This window comes from Homo sapiens, chromosome 13 (genome assembly GCF_000001405.40).
Source record: "Homo sapiens chromosome 13, GRCh38.p14 Primary Assembly".
Taxonomy (NCBI): Eukaryota; Metazoa; Chordata; class Mammalia; order Primates; family Hominidae; genus Homo; species Homo sapiens.
Genome location: NC_000013.11, coordinates 107758262 through 107773751, shown reverse-complemented (window position 1 = coordinate 107773751; position 15490 = coordinate 107758262). Strand labels below are relative to the sequence as shown.

The 15490-nt window shown below is 36.9% G+C and overlaps 1 protein-coding gene across 1 annotated transcript in view, besides 1 other annotated feature; it reads left to right on the top strand.

Annotated features, from left to right (window-relative positions):
* Positions 1-15490, top strand: part of NALF1 (NALCN channel auxiliary factor 1) — a 703987-nt gene that overhangs the window by 93745 nt on the left and 594752 nt on the right. The gene's annotated exons all lie outside the window — the stretch shown is intronic.
* Positions 2747-3300: an enhancer, noted in NCBI's record as "OCT4-NANOG hESC enhancer chr13:108422800-108423353 (GRCh37/hg19 assembly coordinates)". NCBI's record gives its function as "activates a minimal SCP1, AML or CMV promoter by ChIP-STARR-seq in primed H9 embryonic stem cells {active_cell/tissue: H9 hESC(primed)}" and the evidence as "EXISTENCE:reporter gene assay evidence [ECO:0000049][PMID:30033119]".

The window sequence follows — 15490 nt, the reverse complement described above, 5'->3', positions numbered from 1 at the left end:
TCCCTCCCCCTCCCCCCACCCCACAACAGTCCCTGGTGTGCGATGTTCCCCTTCCTGTGTCCATGTGTTCTCATTGTTCAATTCCCACCTATGAGTGAGAACATGCGGACACTCATTATTTTTAAATGATAAGGAAATCAAAGCCTAAAAACGCATACTGTTGTTAAAAATAAGAGATCTTTGTAGAATAATACTTGGTTTTAGAAAAATTATTCAAAATACAGGAATAGAATTAGGACAAGAATAAGAAATCAGTCCTTGAAATTATTTTATCAGAATTTTAGCTTATTTAACCCATGGCAAAGTAATTACAAGATTATCCCATAATAACTTGAGGTCTAGCCATATATTAGCTTTAAACAAAGACATTAGTCTTTTCTGCACTGTTTCTGAGCTTGTTTATTCTGAGTATGATTTATCACTCTGAAGTATGATTTATCATGTGTATCAAGATAGTTTCACATTTGCTAGTACTATCTTTGCTTCAGTTCATATTTCTGATGAGAAAATTGAAAGTAATCTATCAAACTGGAGTATGATCAAGGTAAAATATGTCAGACTCTGAATGAAAAACAATAGTCAACTAGCTTCTAACAACACATGGCCAATATACTGCTTACCTTAGTAGTACTTTGTTTCATCTTCTTAATGACATTGAGCTTCTTAAAGGAATTGTAAATTATTCATGTTACCTTGCTGGTGCATAGCAAGGTACACTGTACTCATTTAATCTTCTTTAAATAAAACAAATATGAAATGTAAAAAAAACCCTCTTTTCAAATGTGATAGATAATAAAGATCTATCCTGAAATTTTACATTGCATACAATTTAAACATTATTTTTTAATGGGGAAATAATCACATATGGTAGAGATTTTATACAGAATTTTAAAATGTGGCATTAAAAAAACTTGTTCCATGGAAAACTGCTTTCAGAGATTTTTAATAAGTGTTTCTCTCACATAGGAACCTAAGCTTCTCAGAGCTTTTAATAGGCTTCTAACAGGCTAATAGTCAAGGCCGTGACCCAAGAAGGGATATAGTTCACAGTGTTTTCCACAAATATTTCACCCCAGAATTTCTTTTCTCGTTGAACATGTTTTAGAAAAGCCTGCTGTAAATGATGCTGCAAATCTCACAATGGCTAATTTAGCTTTTACTGATATATTACCTACATTCTTAATTAGGGACTTTTTTTCACATAGCATTTATATAACTCCTGAAACAACTCCCTGAATTTATGTTTTACATTGAACTTATCTCAAAAAAATAGAGACATATTGTATTGTTTGTGCCAGGACAAGATTTTGTTTTTTTCACATTAAATATGGAAACTCTCTAATAATGCATAACAGATCAGACAAATGGTCCACTTACCTCAATATTTTAAAAAATTTTCACTACTAATGGTATAGGAAAGCGGTCCCTATCCAGACCCCAAGAGAAGGTTCTTGGATCTCGCGCAAGAAAGAACTCAGGGCAAGTCCGCAGTGCAAAGTAAAAACAAGTTTATTAAGAAAGTAAAGTAGCCAAAGTGTAGCTACTCCGTAGACAGAGTAGGAGTTCCTGAAAGTAAGAGGAGGGACGGGTCCACCCTAGATACGATACGTGTGTATATGGGGAGATGTGCTCTGCTTCAAGGGTTTGTGATAGAGGATTAATTTTCTTAATTACTATATTTTGCAAGAATCAGTATTATTATTTTTAAAGCAAAATTAGAAATGCCTTTGTTCTCATGTCTGTAACCCCAGCACTTTGGGAGGCCGAGGCGGGCAGATCACGAGGTCAGGAGATCGATACCATCCTGGCCAACATGGTGAGACCCTGTCTCTACTAAAAATACAAAAATTAGCTGGGGGTGGTGGCATGTGCCTGTAGTCCCAACTACTCCAGAGGCTGAGGCAGGAGAATCACTTGAACCCGGGAGGCGGAGGCTGCAGTGAGCCGAGATCGCGCCACTGCACTCCAGCCTGGCGATAGAGCGAGACTCCGTCAAAAAAAGAAAAGAAATGCTTTTGTTCTGCAGATATCTGGATATCTGGACACTCTCAAGTCTGAGTCTATTTAGTAAACATTATTAATTTGTTCCCTTAACAGTAAACATCTACAGGCTAGGAATGCCTTTCTGGAAATGCAGCCCAGCAACTCCTAGCCTCATTTTCCCAACACTGACTCAAAATGGAGTCGCTCTGGTTCGAACGCCTCTGACACTAATATATATTATATATTATACTATATTACATATTATAGATTTTATATATTGTATCATATATGTTTATAATATGCATACATATATACATTTATGCTGTTAAGGAAAACAAAACAAATATTTTATATATGTGTATGCATAAAATGACATGCAATCCAGTTGATAGCCATTAAGTATGTTATGTATTATGATGATAATTATAGGCCTTCTGCAATTTATTTATATTTTCAATTGTAAAACATTTTTTGAAAGCGGATTTCAAGTAATTATCATATACTGACACACACACACACAACATGTTAAAATAACATCTCAAACCAATATATAAATTTAGGATTTGGAAACATCCAGAAAGTAAAATTTAAAAGTTCTGTTAATTTTACATTTTGGTAAGATTTGTTTTGTAAATTTAGTCCTTAACATAATGCAAATTTAATCTGCAAGATAGAATACATAGATAGATAAATCGATATTTGACATACAATTTCAAATGAAATTGTTTTATGCCCCTTTGAGGAAACATGTCAGGTGATTTTATTTAAGGAGCTACACCCAGGCTCCCTCATTCCTAGGAAGGAAAAAGACCAGAAACTCACAAGGTCTGCTAAAGGCCAAAGACTATTTAGGCCAAAAGGAATAATGCAACCAAAAGATTGCCAGAAGCAAAGAAAACAAAGCAAAAAAAGAAATCAGCAAGTTATTTCAAAAGGGAAGAGAAAAATGTAAGTCAGGTCATTAAAGATTTAATTGACTAGTACAAAGTCTGTGAGAACAAAGCCATCAAATGAACATTTACAATGAGCCCATTGAGATTTCACCCAGGCCATTAACATGTCTTCCTAATTACAATAGGCAGCTCTCAAAAGGCTGTTAGTAAACCCTGCATTTTGGAGAAACATATTTGGACAATGGCTTGAGAGTGATTAGAAGGATCACTGGATAAGAAAGTTCATATTACTTACTTGTGAAACCATGGTACTTGAAGTCTGTTTCAGAAGTGAAAGCCCAGTTGTAGGTACTTATGAACTGTATTTTTCCTTAAAACGTAGAGCTCTTATTTAATAATAAACTAGAGTTACATTTCTATATTCTATGAATAATTTGTTATGCATAAATAATATTAAATCATTTTTGACATTTTAAAGTTTTAGGCATGCAAAAGAGTTGACAATTTAGAGTTGACCTTTTACCCCTCATCTACACTTTCAAGGAGAACTAAACAACTACCTCTGAATTTTAGGCAGCTCCAAACAGCATAAGTAATCAAAAGAACGTCTTAGATAACTTTGGCTAATGTTGGAGATTATCATTATTATAAAAAACAAAAGTGGGCCCGGCGCGGTGGCTCACGCCTGTAATTCCAGCACTTTGGGAGGCCGAGGCGGGTGGATCACGAGGTCAGGAGATCGAGACCATCCTGGCTAACACGGCGAAACCCCGTCTCTACTAAAAAATACAAAAAATTAGCCGGGCGTGGTGGCGGGTGCCTGTAGTCCCAGCTACTCAGGAGGCTGAGGCAGGAGAATGGTGTGAACCCAGGGGACAGAGCTTGCAGTGAGCCGAGACCGCGCCACTGCACTCTAGCCTGGGTGACAGAGCGAGACTCCGTCTCAACAAAACAAAACAAAACAAAACAAAGCAAAAAAAATTGAATTTTGAAGTTTGAGATATTTGGAGGATGTATATTGATGGAATTCTCTAAGTGGTGATGGTAACCCATTATACTTTAGGCTCAGACAGCAAAACTTTCCACAGCTGGTGATTTAATCAGGGACTGGTGGATTATATAAGGGTTAATGGAACCGTTTTTTTAGGACTAAAACCTGTGTTTATTTCTTCTTTTTTTTTTTTTATTATACTTTAAGTTTTAGGGTACATGTGCACATTGTGCAGGTTAGTTACATATGTATACATGTGCCATGCTGGTGTACTGAACCCACTAACTCGTCATCTAGCATTAGGTATATCTCCCGATGCTATCCCTCCCCCCTCCCCCCACCCCACAACAGTTCCCAGAGTGCGATATTCCCCTTCCTGTGTCCATGTGATCTCATTGTTCAATTCCCACCTATGAGTGAGAATATGCGGTGTTTGGTTTTTTGTTCTTGTGATAGTTTACTGAGAATGATGATTTCCAATTTCATCCACGTCCCTACAAAGGACATGAACTCATCATTTTTTATGGCTGCATAGTATTCCATGGTGTATATGTGCCACATTTTCTTAATCCAGTCTATCATTGTTGGACATTTGGGTTGGTTCCAAGTCTTTGCTATTGTGAAGAGTGCTGCAGTAAACATACGTGTGCATGTGTCTTTATAGCAGCATGATTTATAGTCCTTTGAGTATATACCCAGTAATGGGATGGCTGGGTCAAATGGTATTTCCAGTTCTAGATCCCTGAGGAATTGCCACACTGACTTCCACAATGGTTGAACTAGTTTACAGTCCCACCAACAGTGTAAAAGTGTTCCTATTTCTCCACATCCTCTCCAGCACCTGTTGTTTCCTGACTTTTTAATGATTGCCATTCTAACTGGTGTGAGATGGTATCTCATTGTAGTTTTGATTTGCATTTCTCTGATGGCCAGTGATGATGAGCATTTTTTCATGTGTTTTTTGGCTGCATAGATGTCTTCTTTTGAGAAGTGTCTGTTCATGTCCTTTGCCCACTTTTTGATGGGGTTGTTTGTTTTTTTCTTGTAAATTTGTTTGAGTTCATTGTAGATTCTGGATATTAGCCGTTTGTCAGATGAGTAGGTTGCGAAAATTTTCTCCCATTTTGTAAAACCTGTGTTCATTTCTAAACTCTGAAGAAATTGCTGTATCTGCCAGTCAATTGCTGCTGTTCATTATTAATGTTATTGGTAGTATTACTTTGTATGCCCTTACTTGCGAAAAAGGTTTTAGTCCATTTTCTTCCATTTGCTTATCAGATGTTAAAGATGAAGGGAAAGTTATTCCGAGAATGATTCCAATTGTTCATCCTGTTCTTTATAAACGCTTTTTGGAAATCTCACTTAGTAGAAAAAAATAAGTCTCAAGATTTAGTTCACATTCCAAATTCTTATAAAAGCTACTGTGGATTATTAACCAGTTTATTGTGTCCCATCGTATTAGAATATTTTCAAATATTATTTCTAATCCTTAAAATGAGTCTCACTTCTAGGAAATATATTTATTTTTATTTTGTGAAAGAAAATTGAAGGATTACAGTATTGAAATAACTTGCCACAATTATACAGTATTTAGCATGTCAGAGCCATAATGTTAGAAACAAATTACTATCCATTTATTGGGTGCTTATTTTGTGCCAGATACTGCTCAAAGCCTTGTGCATGTATTGTCTCATTTCATTCTCAAAATAATCCTAGGAGGCATTGGATCAATGAAGTATCATGGATTCCATTTTTAATTAAGGAAGCTGAGCCTCAGACGATTGAAGTGACAGGCCAAAGGACACAAGACTCTTAAGTGAGGGCGCTGAGGTTTGCATTCACATCAATCTAAACCCAGCTCTGTTCTCCCCCTTCATCATAGACGGGTTCTGAGGAGGAATCTGTGGATTGACTGCCCGGGGATCATTCCGGGTAGTCCTTACTTTCTCAACGTGTCTCTACTTCATACATCTCTCCCCACTCTTTAATTGTGTCTCTTCTCATATAAAACATGAAAATGAGAGAAACGCTCTTTAAAGATTTAGCAATGGCCTGAAGTATATGCTAGAGCAGGGTATGCTATCATATATAAATAGAGAAAAATTCTGTTATAAAAAGGGCAAGATTAAAAAATAATGGACCATAAAGTCAAACCAGAGTGTCATGATAATTTTCCCAGAGTTTCCTAATTGTGATACTTTAGTGAAATATATTGGGGAAAAATGACCATTAGCAGCGTACCGATAACTTTTATACTATCCCATGAAAGCACATGATACATTTGGAACCTTTCCCCTAACTTTCAGATACACTTGCAGTTCTAAGATTCTTCTCATAAGGTATACAGTCGTCTTCTAATTTACATGTAGACCTGTGACCTAAAATATTCTGATGAGAGCCAACAGCTGAAATCCTTGTAAGACATTCTAGAGCATTTTAGGACAGTGGGACTGCGTTGAATAACCAGTTACTGCAACAGAACACCAAGGCAGGGGACAATCGGTCTTTGCTGCCAATTACACTTGGACATACAGCAGCAGGAGGGAATCCTGAGTCCTTGACTTAATTTCATCTGGCCCTGGAGGCAAGTGACAGGAAGTGACAAGCCAATTATGCATCCAGTCACAAAGCACAATGTGACTTTAACTTTAGAAAAACTCCTAAAAGGTCACATGTTGTAGATTTCAATGTTGTTAATGATTTACCGGTTTCTCCCCATATGAAACATTTATTTTGTTTCTTTGTGAGGGAAACACACCATGAGGTGTGTCCTTGTCTTTTTCTGCATGTAAATCCATCTTTCCTTTTCTATATTTTTTTCCTGTTTTGTTAGGTTTTTCTCTCTGACTCTGTCTTACCCGTTTGGTTGTTTTTCCTCCACACGTCTAAGTCTTTCTGTTGTCAGTTGCCTGCTTCCTTTAGCCATAATATAAAATAAAATTTTAAACAAATCACTCTGGATAGTTTTTAGGCTTTGTTTTTAACATGAAAATATGAATAAAATTGGTTTTACTTCTGTAGCTTTCTTATTGTGGGTCAGATGGCATTAAAACAAAGACTGAAGTAGGAGTCCACAGTCTCTGCCTTTCTGTGAACTGCTTTAAATCAACTATGATGATCTAAAAGTTAGAAATTTTCTTGCTTTGAATTTGTTTTAATAAAATTTGTCTTCTATTTTCAATTGAATTTGCTGTCTGAATGTTGCTTTAAGGATTTTTAAAAATGTTTTACATACACAGATATAAATTCTCTCATAGGTTGAAACCCATTCTAAAATATCCTGTTTGACACTTAGCCCATCTGCTTAAATATGTATTGATCATTAACGCAGCAGATATTTGAGACAATAAATTCACTACAGACTTCAGTTAAGTTCTCCCCCATCACCATTATTATGAACAGTTCTGCGTTTCAGTCAATCTTGTAGTAAAATTTCCCTTGAAAGGAAATTAATTTCTGGTGACCTAATCCTGTGTTTTCTTTTTGTCTGATATTCATTTGATTAAAAAAAATGTTTCTCTGAGCACATTGTTATCGGTTATTTATTCTTTTGCAAAGCAGCATTTCTCACGCAGCTGCTAAGTCCCTGTTGGCTTTAGATTGCTGTCTAAAATGAATTATATCTATTGTATTTACTTGATCACTGGGGATGGTACAGATTTATCTTTTAAGAACTGTCCTCAGAGAGACCTGCTAAGCTTCTCAGGCTAATGGGGCTGTAGCAAGGCCTCATTATTGCTGCACGTACATCTGTAATTACATTCACCTCCTAACTCAGTATGAAAGGCAATCATCAAATGTAAACAGTGGTTGCCTTCGATGGACCTATTATAGATGATTTTCTGTTCTTTATGGTTATTATTTTTACGTGAACAAAGGAACAGAAACAGCTAAAACATAGCTATTTTTTTAAAAAGAGAGCAATGTGACCTAGATAAAGAGGAATTTAAAACAGCTAGTTGATTACACCCTAAAGGATGTGATTTGTCATAGACATGTTCCTCAAATATTTATAAAAGTTTAATAGTAGGCGTTTTCTAAATACTTTATTCCCTTCAGAATCTTCAAAATCTAGGTAACCTTTATTACTTTAAATATTTATTTACTTAGTAGCTTAAATAAACTAAGGCAGTATTTCAGAACTATTCAGTGAGACCAGGTTTCATAAATGATGCAAGCAAGTTATCTATTTCCATTTATTATAAATAAAAAGGATGGGTGGGCAGGGATCCTATTTACTAAATGGTTTCATTAAAGATGAAAACAATTTCACTTTTAAATCTATCATTAAATAGATAAATGTATACATATACAGTTATGTACATCCACATAAACAGAACGAAATAAGCAAATACTATGTAAGTAGGCTTGCAAGATTATGTGCTGAGCTATATAATATCGTGATAATCAAGATAAAATGGCACTTCCATATGCTGTTACTTATATAACTCTATAATATTGTCCCATGCACATTAACCTCTTACTGAGGCTTAGAGTTTTCTTGTTGGATAAATATTTTAAGGAGAAAATTAGAAACCCTGTTGGACTGGATTCATTCAGAACAGATTCTGATGAGACCCAGCTCTTTGAATTGGATATTTATGGCTTGTTGAACATTTGTGGTGCAATGAAAAATCTGTAAATTGCAATTAACACAACAAAGCTGAAAAATGAAGAAAGTGGTGAGATTTCAGTATCTCTGTGGCTGAGCTGCTGTGTGTGTGGTGGGGGGATTCCTGGGATATTCTAATCCTAGCAACATATTTTCTTTCCATTCAGTTGTAACGATCATTCAGAGAAGTGACAAATATATCTACTAGACGTCTCTTTCCGTGGGTGAGGAGCAGCTCTTGTTTTAGAGAGGACTTAGCAAGGATGCTGTAATTTGCAGTGACTTGAAAAGCAGGGACTGGATGTCCTCCATGCATAAAGTAACCCACGTAGTAAGATAAATTACTTTAAAATCTGAGTTGATTCTTTCAGTTCAATGTCTGGAAACTTATTAATTGAATGCAGCCGTCTGCAGAGCTTGACTTGAGATCATATAGTTGACTTAAGCACAAGGAGTATCTTGCTGAAAAAACTGTAAACTCCAGTAAAGTGAATCCCAATCCATCACTGGACATTTGGCACTGTTTGCACCAATCATACAGATCATGGTCATCTGATGAATAGTTTTATGATAGGAGAGACTTCTCAATATTAACCATGATGCATTCCACGCTTGACAACACAGAATGGTCATCTTGATGTAGTCCCAGGAATTTGTATGTGCTGGTTTTACAAAGTCAGATATATTCAGTATTCCCTTCATTGATTTGTCTTACCTTAGTGTCACCTGGATAAGACAAAGTCCCTTCATTAGAATACTTTACCAGATATTGGTGTATTCATGCCGAAGTCTTCCTTTCTCTCTCTCTGTCTACATACGTACGCACAAACACACACACACAGATGTATAAGTGTTATATATACACACACATATATGCACACATATATAATATATACACATACAACATATGTATTATGTTATAACATTATGCAACATCACGTATACAAACATATCAGCTACTTAATTTTGAAATAAGTAATAAACTTTGGCCTAAATGTGTTACAGTATCTAATGTTAAAACATTATGCAACATCATATATACAAACATCACCTACTTAATTTTGAAATAAGTAATAAACTTTGGCCTAAATATGTTGCAATATCTAAATATGTTGCCTTTTTATTTCCTCTTCAAACATGCCCAGTTTCCATAATGTTTTCACCCTAGTTGTAAGAAGTAGAAGAAAATAAAAGAGTGACCAGTGATACATTTTCTTGGTATTTTGATACCTCTATGCCTGGTCGACTTTCCCAGAGGCCGGCCATTAGTAGAAAGGCTCTCAGACCAAACTAAGTAGATCAAATTATCAAGACTATTAAATCAATTTAGATATATAATGCAAAGTAACAGGAAGAAAACAAGAGGTGACACACTTAGGATAGGGTGACACAGCATAGGACAGCTTGTGATTAGGTACGGTAGACCCCTAATGGTTGGAAATCTCATCCAGATCATTGTATACCTGGTAGTCCTGTCTGTATAACTTTGTATAATATTGATGTATTAATTCAGTGATACAAAACAGTAAACATTTTACTAGTAGATATATCATATGTTTGCATTGTGTATCCCTGTAACCATGGGTACATAAGTCAATGACCGAAGTCATCAGCTATTTTCAGGTTTACTAGTAATATCTATGTGCTGCTTTTTCATTAATGTTGTTTGTATAAGACAAGCAAAAGCAGGCCCCAAAGCTTCAAGAAAAATTTTTGAAGGGCATTTAATGTGGAAATATTCTTATCTACTATTTTTATCTGCAGTGAACTGGAAAGGCTTGCCTTTTTTTTTTTTTTTTTTGAATTTTAATATGAAACACAGTGGTATAGATCCCAGATGTTCTGAAAGTACATCATTTGAGAACTAGTGATTTAGTCTGAAGAAAATAATAACAGGACAACTAAATATTTTAAGGCTGTAAGTGGACATTATATGGAGAATAGCATCTAGTGATATTTAATTTACTGGAGTCGCTATTTTTACCCATTAAAGTTTGATTGGTGACTAATTCTTGGGGAGGAGGAGGTTGAAGAGCACTTTAACTGGATATCCTTTACTTGCGGGGATATTGATTTTCTCATTTTTGTGATTTCTAGTGTATTATGTTTACTTTAAAAGATTTTACAAACTATATAAAATGGTTTCAAAAAGTTTGTTTAATGCCAGAAAAATGATGAGTTTATTTTTCTTTCTTTCAGCTTAAATTTGTGGCCCACTAGAAAAAAAAAAAGGTATCAAACAGATGTGTGCATTGCTATTCCTTGCAGCCTCCACAAAAGCTGGTGTCCAGAGGGTGGAAATTCTGTTTCTATTTTGGTTGTGTCAGTTCCTTCTCTAAAAAGCTTCTAATTATTTCTCATCACTTGCCAGATAAAATTAAAACTTCTTAACACAATTTTTAAGACTCTCTTTCTTTTTTAATATATTAAAAATATTTGTAAGGAAGACATAACATAAAAGTTACCACCTAACCATTGTTAAATGTACTGTTCTTAGTGTTCAGTGTATTCACGTTGTTGTGCAACAGATCTCTATAACTTTTTCATCTTGCAAAACTGAGACCCTGTACCCACTGAACAACGACTCTGTATGTCCTCCCTCCAGCCCGTGCAACCACCATTCCATTTCCTAAACTTCCTTGAACTGACTCCTCCTCTCCTGTTTGATTTTCTCTAACTCATTTCAAAACCTGCCTTCCGCCTTACCTCCATACACAATGTCTTTCTAGTTCCCATCATAGATCCCAGTTCAGATCTTCACTCACATCCTTCTCATTGCCTGGGGTGCTCTCCCATGACCCCTTGTGTGATTATTTTCTTCCTTTTTTTTAATTTAATTTTTTAAAATTATACTTTAAGTTCTAGGCTATATGTGCACAATGTGCAGGTTTGTTACATATGTATAACTCACCTTTCAGATACAGACTTAAAAGGCGTTCCTAGAGTGGGAGATTTACACCCAATATGTGCTCTCACATGACACCTTGTTATTTCCAACCATCACAAAAATTAACTTTTACTTTTTTTTTTTTTTCTGATAGAATGTGAGCCTTTGAAACCAAAACCAATAGCTACATATAAAGGACGCCCAGTCTTGCTCATCATTTCATTCCTGGCACCATAGCACACACCAAATAAGTATTAATTGCCTGAATAACTGGGTCAGTGCTCAAAATACCTAGATTTGAATCTTATTTTGTCAGTTACAAGTTGTGTGCCCTTGGGTACACAAAGATCTTAATAATGATGATGGCAATAAAAATATTTATTACAGCAATAATAGCAGTGCTAGTAGCAGCCATCACTGACATTTACATAGCACTTATTATGTAGTGGGCATATTTAAATCCTTATATTAAATCATTTAATCCTCATAATAACTCTTTGCAGTAGGTACTATGATTATGTCCATTGTCAGATGTGTTAGGAGGACAGGGATATTAAGTGATTTGTCCAAGGTGACACAGTTCATAAGTAACAGAACCACTATTGGAATCAGGTGCTTTGAATATGAAGTCCTGTTATGAAATATTGTTTGATGTGTTGGAACCCCACTTCCTTATTTATAATGAGTGATTTCATTTCAAAGATGGCTGATAGGCATTAAATGTTTCCATCTATGGCAAGCTGCTTAGCACAATGCCTAATTGGAATTACCGTAATTCCTAATTGTAATTAAGGCTAGAATTAGCACCTAATCTGACAGGCACTAACAAAACTAGTCAGTCCTCTTGGACTAGGTGGAATATCAGTTTGGACCCATGAAAACCAGACTCATGTGCAAGAAATCAGAGACACAAGTGGACCCATTTCTTCTAAGATATAGGAATATCCTTAAAAGACAGGTGCATGTATTTTTCCCAATCCTGCTGTTTGCCATTTTTTTCCTTTTTTTTTTCTTTTTTTTTGTTTTTTTGAGACGGAGTCCTGCTCTGTCGCTCAGGCTGGGGTGCAGTGGCGCGATCTCAGCACGCTGCAAGCTCTGTCTCCTGCGTTCACGCCATTCTTCTGCCTCAGCCTCCCGAGTAGCTGGAACTACAGGCGCCTGCCACCATGCCCAGCTAATTTTTTGTATTATTAGTAGAAATGGGGTTTCACCGTGTTAGCCAGAATGGTCTCAATCTCTTGACCTCGTGATCTGCCCGCCTTGGCCTCCCAAAGTACTGGGATTACAAGTGTGATTTCAGCCACCGCGCCTGGCCGGTGTTTGCCATTTTTTCTTAACCCATTAACTCTTGGCTACAAGAGGACAGAAGTCTGTTAGTGAAAACTCAACAAATGACAGCCATTACTGTCATCATCTGTTGCTACTGTGGTACTTCATGCTTTGAATGAAGTAGATCTTCAGTAACTATTAGCTCCTTTCTTCTCTTTCGGCTCCCTTCATTACAGCAAGTCCGACTCAACTACTACTGCAAAAAATTAGGTCAAAGACATGTTATAATGGCTGCCAAGGAAATGGGGTATAATTGATAGGAGCTATAGAAGAAGGAAGAGCACAAATTTCAGAGGAAAACACATCCTGTTACCGAATGCTAACACCTTGCTAGAATTATGACAACATGCGTGGTATTTGAGTAACATTTAAAACTTTAAAGGTGTGGACATATCATTGATACCATGTTTGTTTCATAACCGATCTTGAGAGAAATCATAGGATATTACAATTCCCATTTTACAAAGAGCCTCAGTGACTTGCTGAAGGGAAGAATAGTTAGGGTCCACTTAAGAACTAGCAATTAGATTTCCAGATTACTTGTTCTGTGAAAATATAATTCATCATCTAACAAAGACCTTTTTGAGAGTGGAAGGGGGAAGTTCGGTTGAGTTAGAATAGCAGACATCCATCGAGACTTTCCAGGGCTCATCAGGAGGGGTGGTGCTTTCCTTCTACAGATGTTCCTCCTTGTGTTGTCTGTCCTTTCTCTTCTCTTTCACAATAAGCATCATGTTGATTTTTAAAATCTTCTCCTTCTTTGATCCATGGAAGATGAATTATTTCTTCTCCTTAGGCGTCCAGAGTTCTCTTTGCTGTATGCATGTATACATGTGAAAATCAAACATATCCCTCTGAAAAAAAGGAGAAATCTACCTTGATGCAATAACTCTGTACATATTTCACAAAATGTCCTGAGCTTGGACAGCAAAGGCTGGCATAACTTGCTAAGGTTTGCTTGAATTTTATGTTGATTGCATTCACTTTATATTCCTACCTTATCCATGAATGGCTGTATATTGGAATGAAAACTAATTTGGTATTTTGGTAGAATTACAGATTATTACTAGATAGATATTTCACACTGTTGAATGTTGAATGTGACAAAAAAGTTATCATAACCTGCTCTGGTTTCACGTACCCTGAAGAACAAGGTGCTGTCTTGATGGGCTCTTCATTCCCAGCATGACACAGCTGGAGGATGGGGGGGACAACATTTGGTAAGAATAACAGATTCTCTGGGAAGAGATCAGCAATTTCAATTAACTAAGTCCCAGAAAAAAAAAAAGCAAAGTAAATGCCATTTGAAGATAGCTAATTGAGGCTCCAAACAGAGAGGATGGACAGAGACACTGAACAGTAAGGTAAGAACACAGTAAGGTAAGGGGAGAACACAGAGTGATGGCTGATGGATTCTGTGAATGTTGAAGACTGGAATTAGCACCAAACCTGACAGGTACTAACAAAACCAGTCTGTCTCTTGGACTAGGTGGAATGTGGGTCTGGACCCGAGAGAACCAGATGCATTTGCAAGAATTCAGAGACACAAGACAGGGTGCGGTGGCCCACGCCTGTAATCCCAGCACTGTGGGAAGGCGAGGTGGGTGGATCCTGAGATCAGGAGATGGAGACCATCCTGGCTAACATGGTGAAACCCCGCCTCTACTAAAAATACTAAAAATTATCCAAGGGTGGTGGCATGCACCTGTAGTCCTAGCTACTCGGGAGGCTGAGGCAGGAGAATTGCTTGAACCCGGGAGGCAGAGGATCCAGTGAGCTGAGATCATGCCACTGCACTCCAGCCTGGGTGACAGAGCAAGACTATCTCAAAAAACAAAAACAAAAACAAAAGAAATCAGAGACACAAATGAACCCATTTCTACTAAGATACAGGGATATCCTTAAAAGACAGTGGGTGGTATTTCTCCTGACCCTGCTGTTTGCCATTTCTTCTTAACCCATTGACTCTTGGATACATGAGGACAGAAGTCTATTACAAAATCTACAAGCACCTTATACACCACTACCCTGAGATCTTGGTGGTTCCTGGCCAGGCAACTGGAATTGGTTGTAGAGTTATCCTCACACTCTTTCAGCTTAGATCATCTAGCTTGGCTTCAGAAAGTCTTATCATTTGGAGGTAGGGTTTCAGTGGTCTTGTTCTTTAGGTTGGTGCATTCTCGTAAAACCTGTATTGAGATTCTGAATAAAACAATTCTATACCTAAACATTTTATCCATTGTGCATAAGAACTTATTTCAAACTTGTATTTTGTGGAGAAGCCAAAAGTTTGGCAATTATACGTGCTTTTCTTTTTCTTTTTATTTTTTTCTTTTTGAGATGGAGTCTCGCTCTGTCACCAGCCTGGAGTGCAGTGGCGCTATCTCGGCTCACTACCAGCTCCATCTCCCGGGTTCACGCCATTCTCCTGTGTCAGCCTCCCGAGTAGCTGGTACTACAGGTGCCTGCCACCACACCCAGCTAATTTTTTGTATTTTTAGTAGAGACGGGGTTTCACTATGTTAGCCAGGATGGTCTCTATCTCCTGACCTCATGATCCGCCCGCCTCAGCCTCCCAAAGTGTTGGGATTACAGGCATAAGCCACTGCGCCAAGCCTATACATGCTTTTTATGGACTCAGCAAGTGATCTGTAATACAATAATGCATGTGGTTTTATTAATATATGAAAATTAAAAATGAATTGTTTTATAGCTTTGCTGATTTGAGATTTATAGTAAGTGGGAATACATACATGGATAAACATTTATTCCAGAAATTTTCAGTTTAGTTAGCC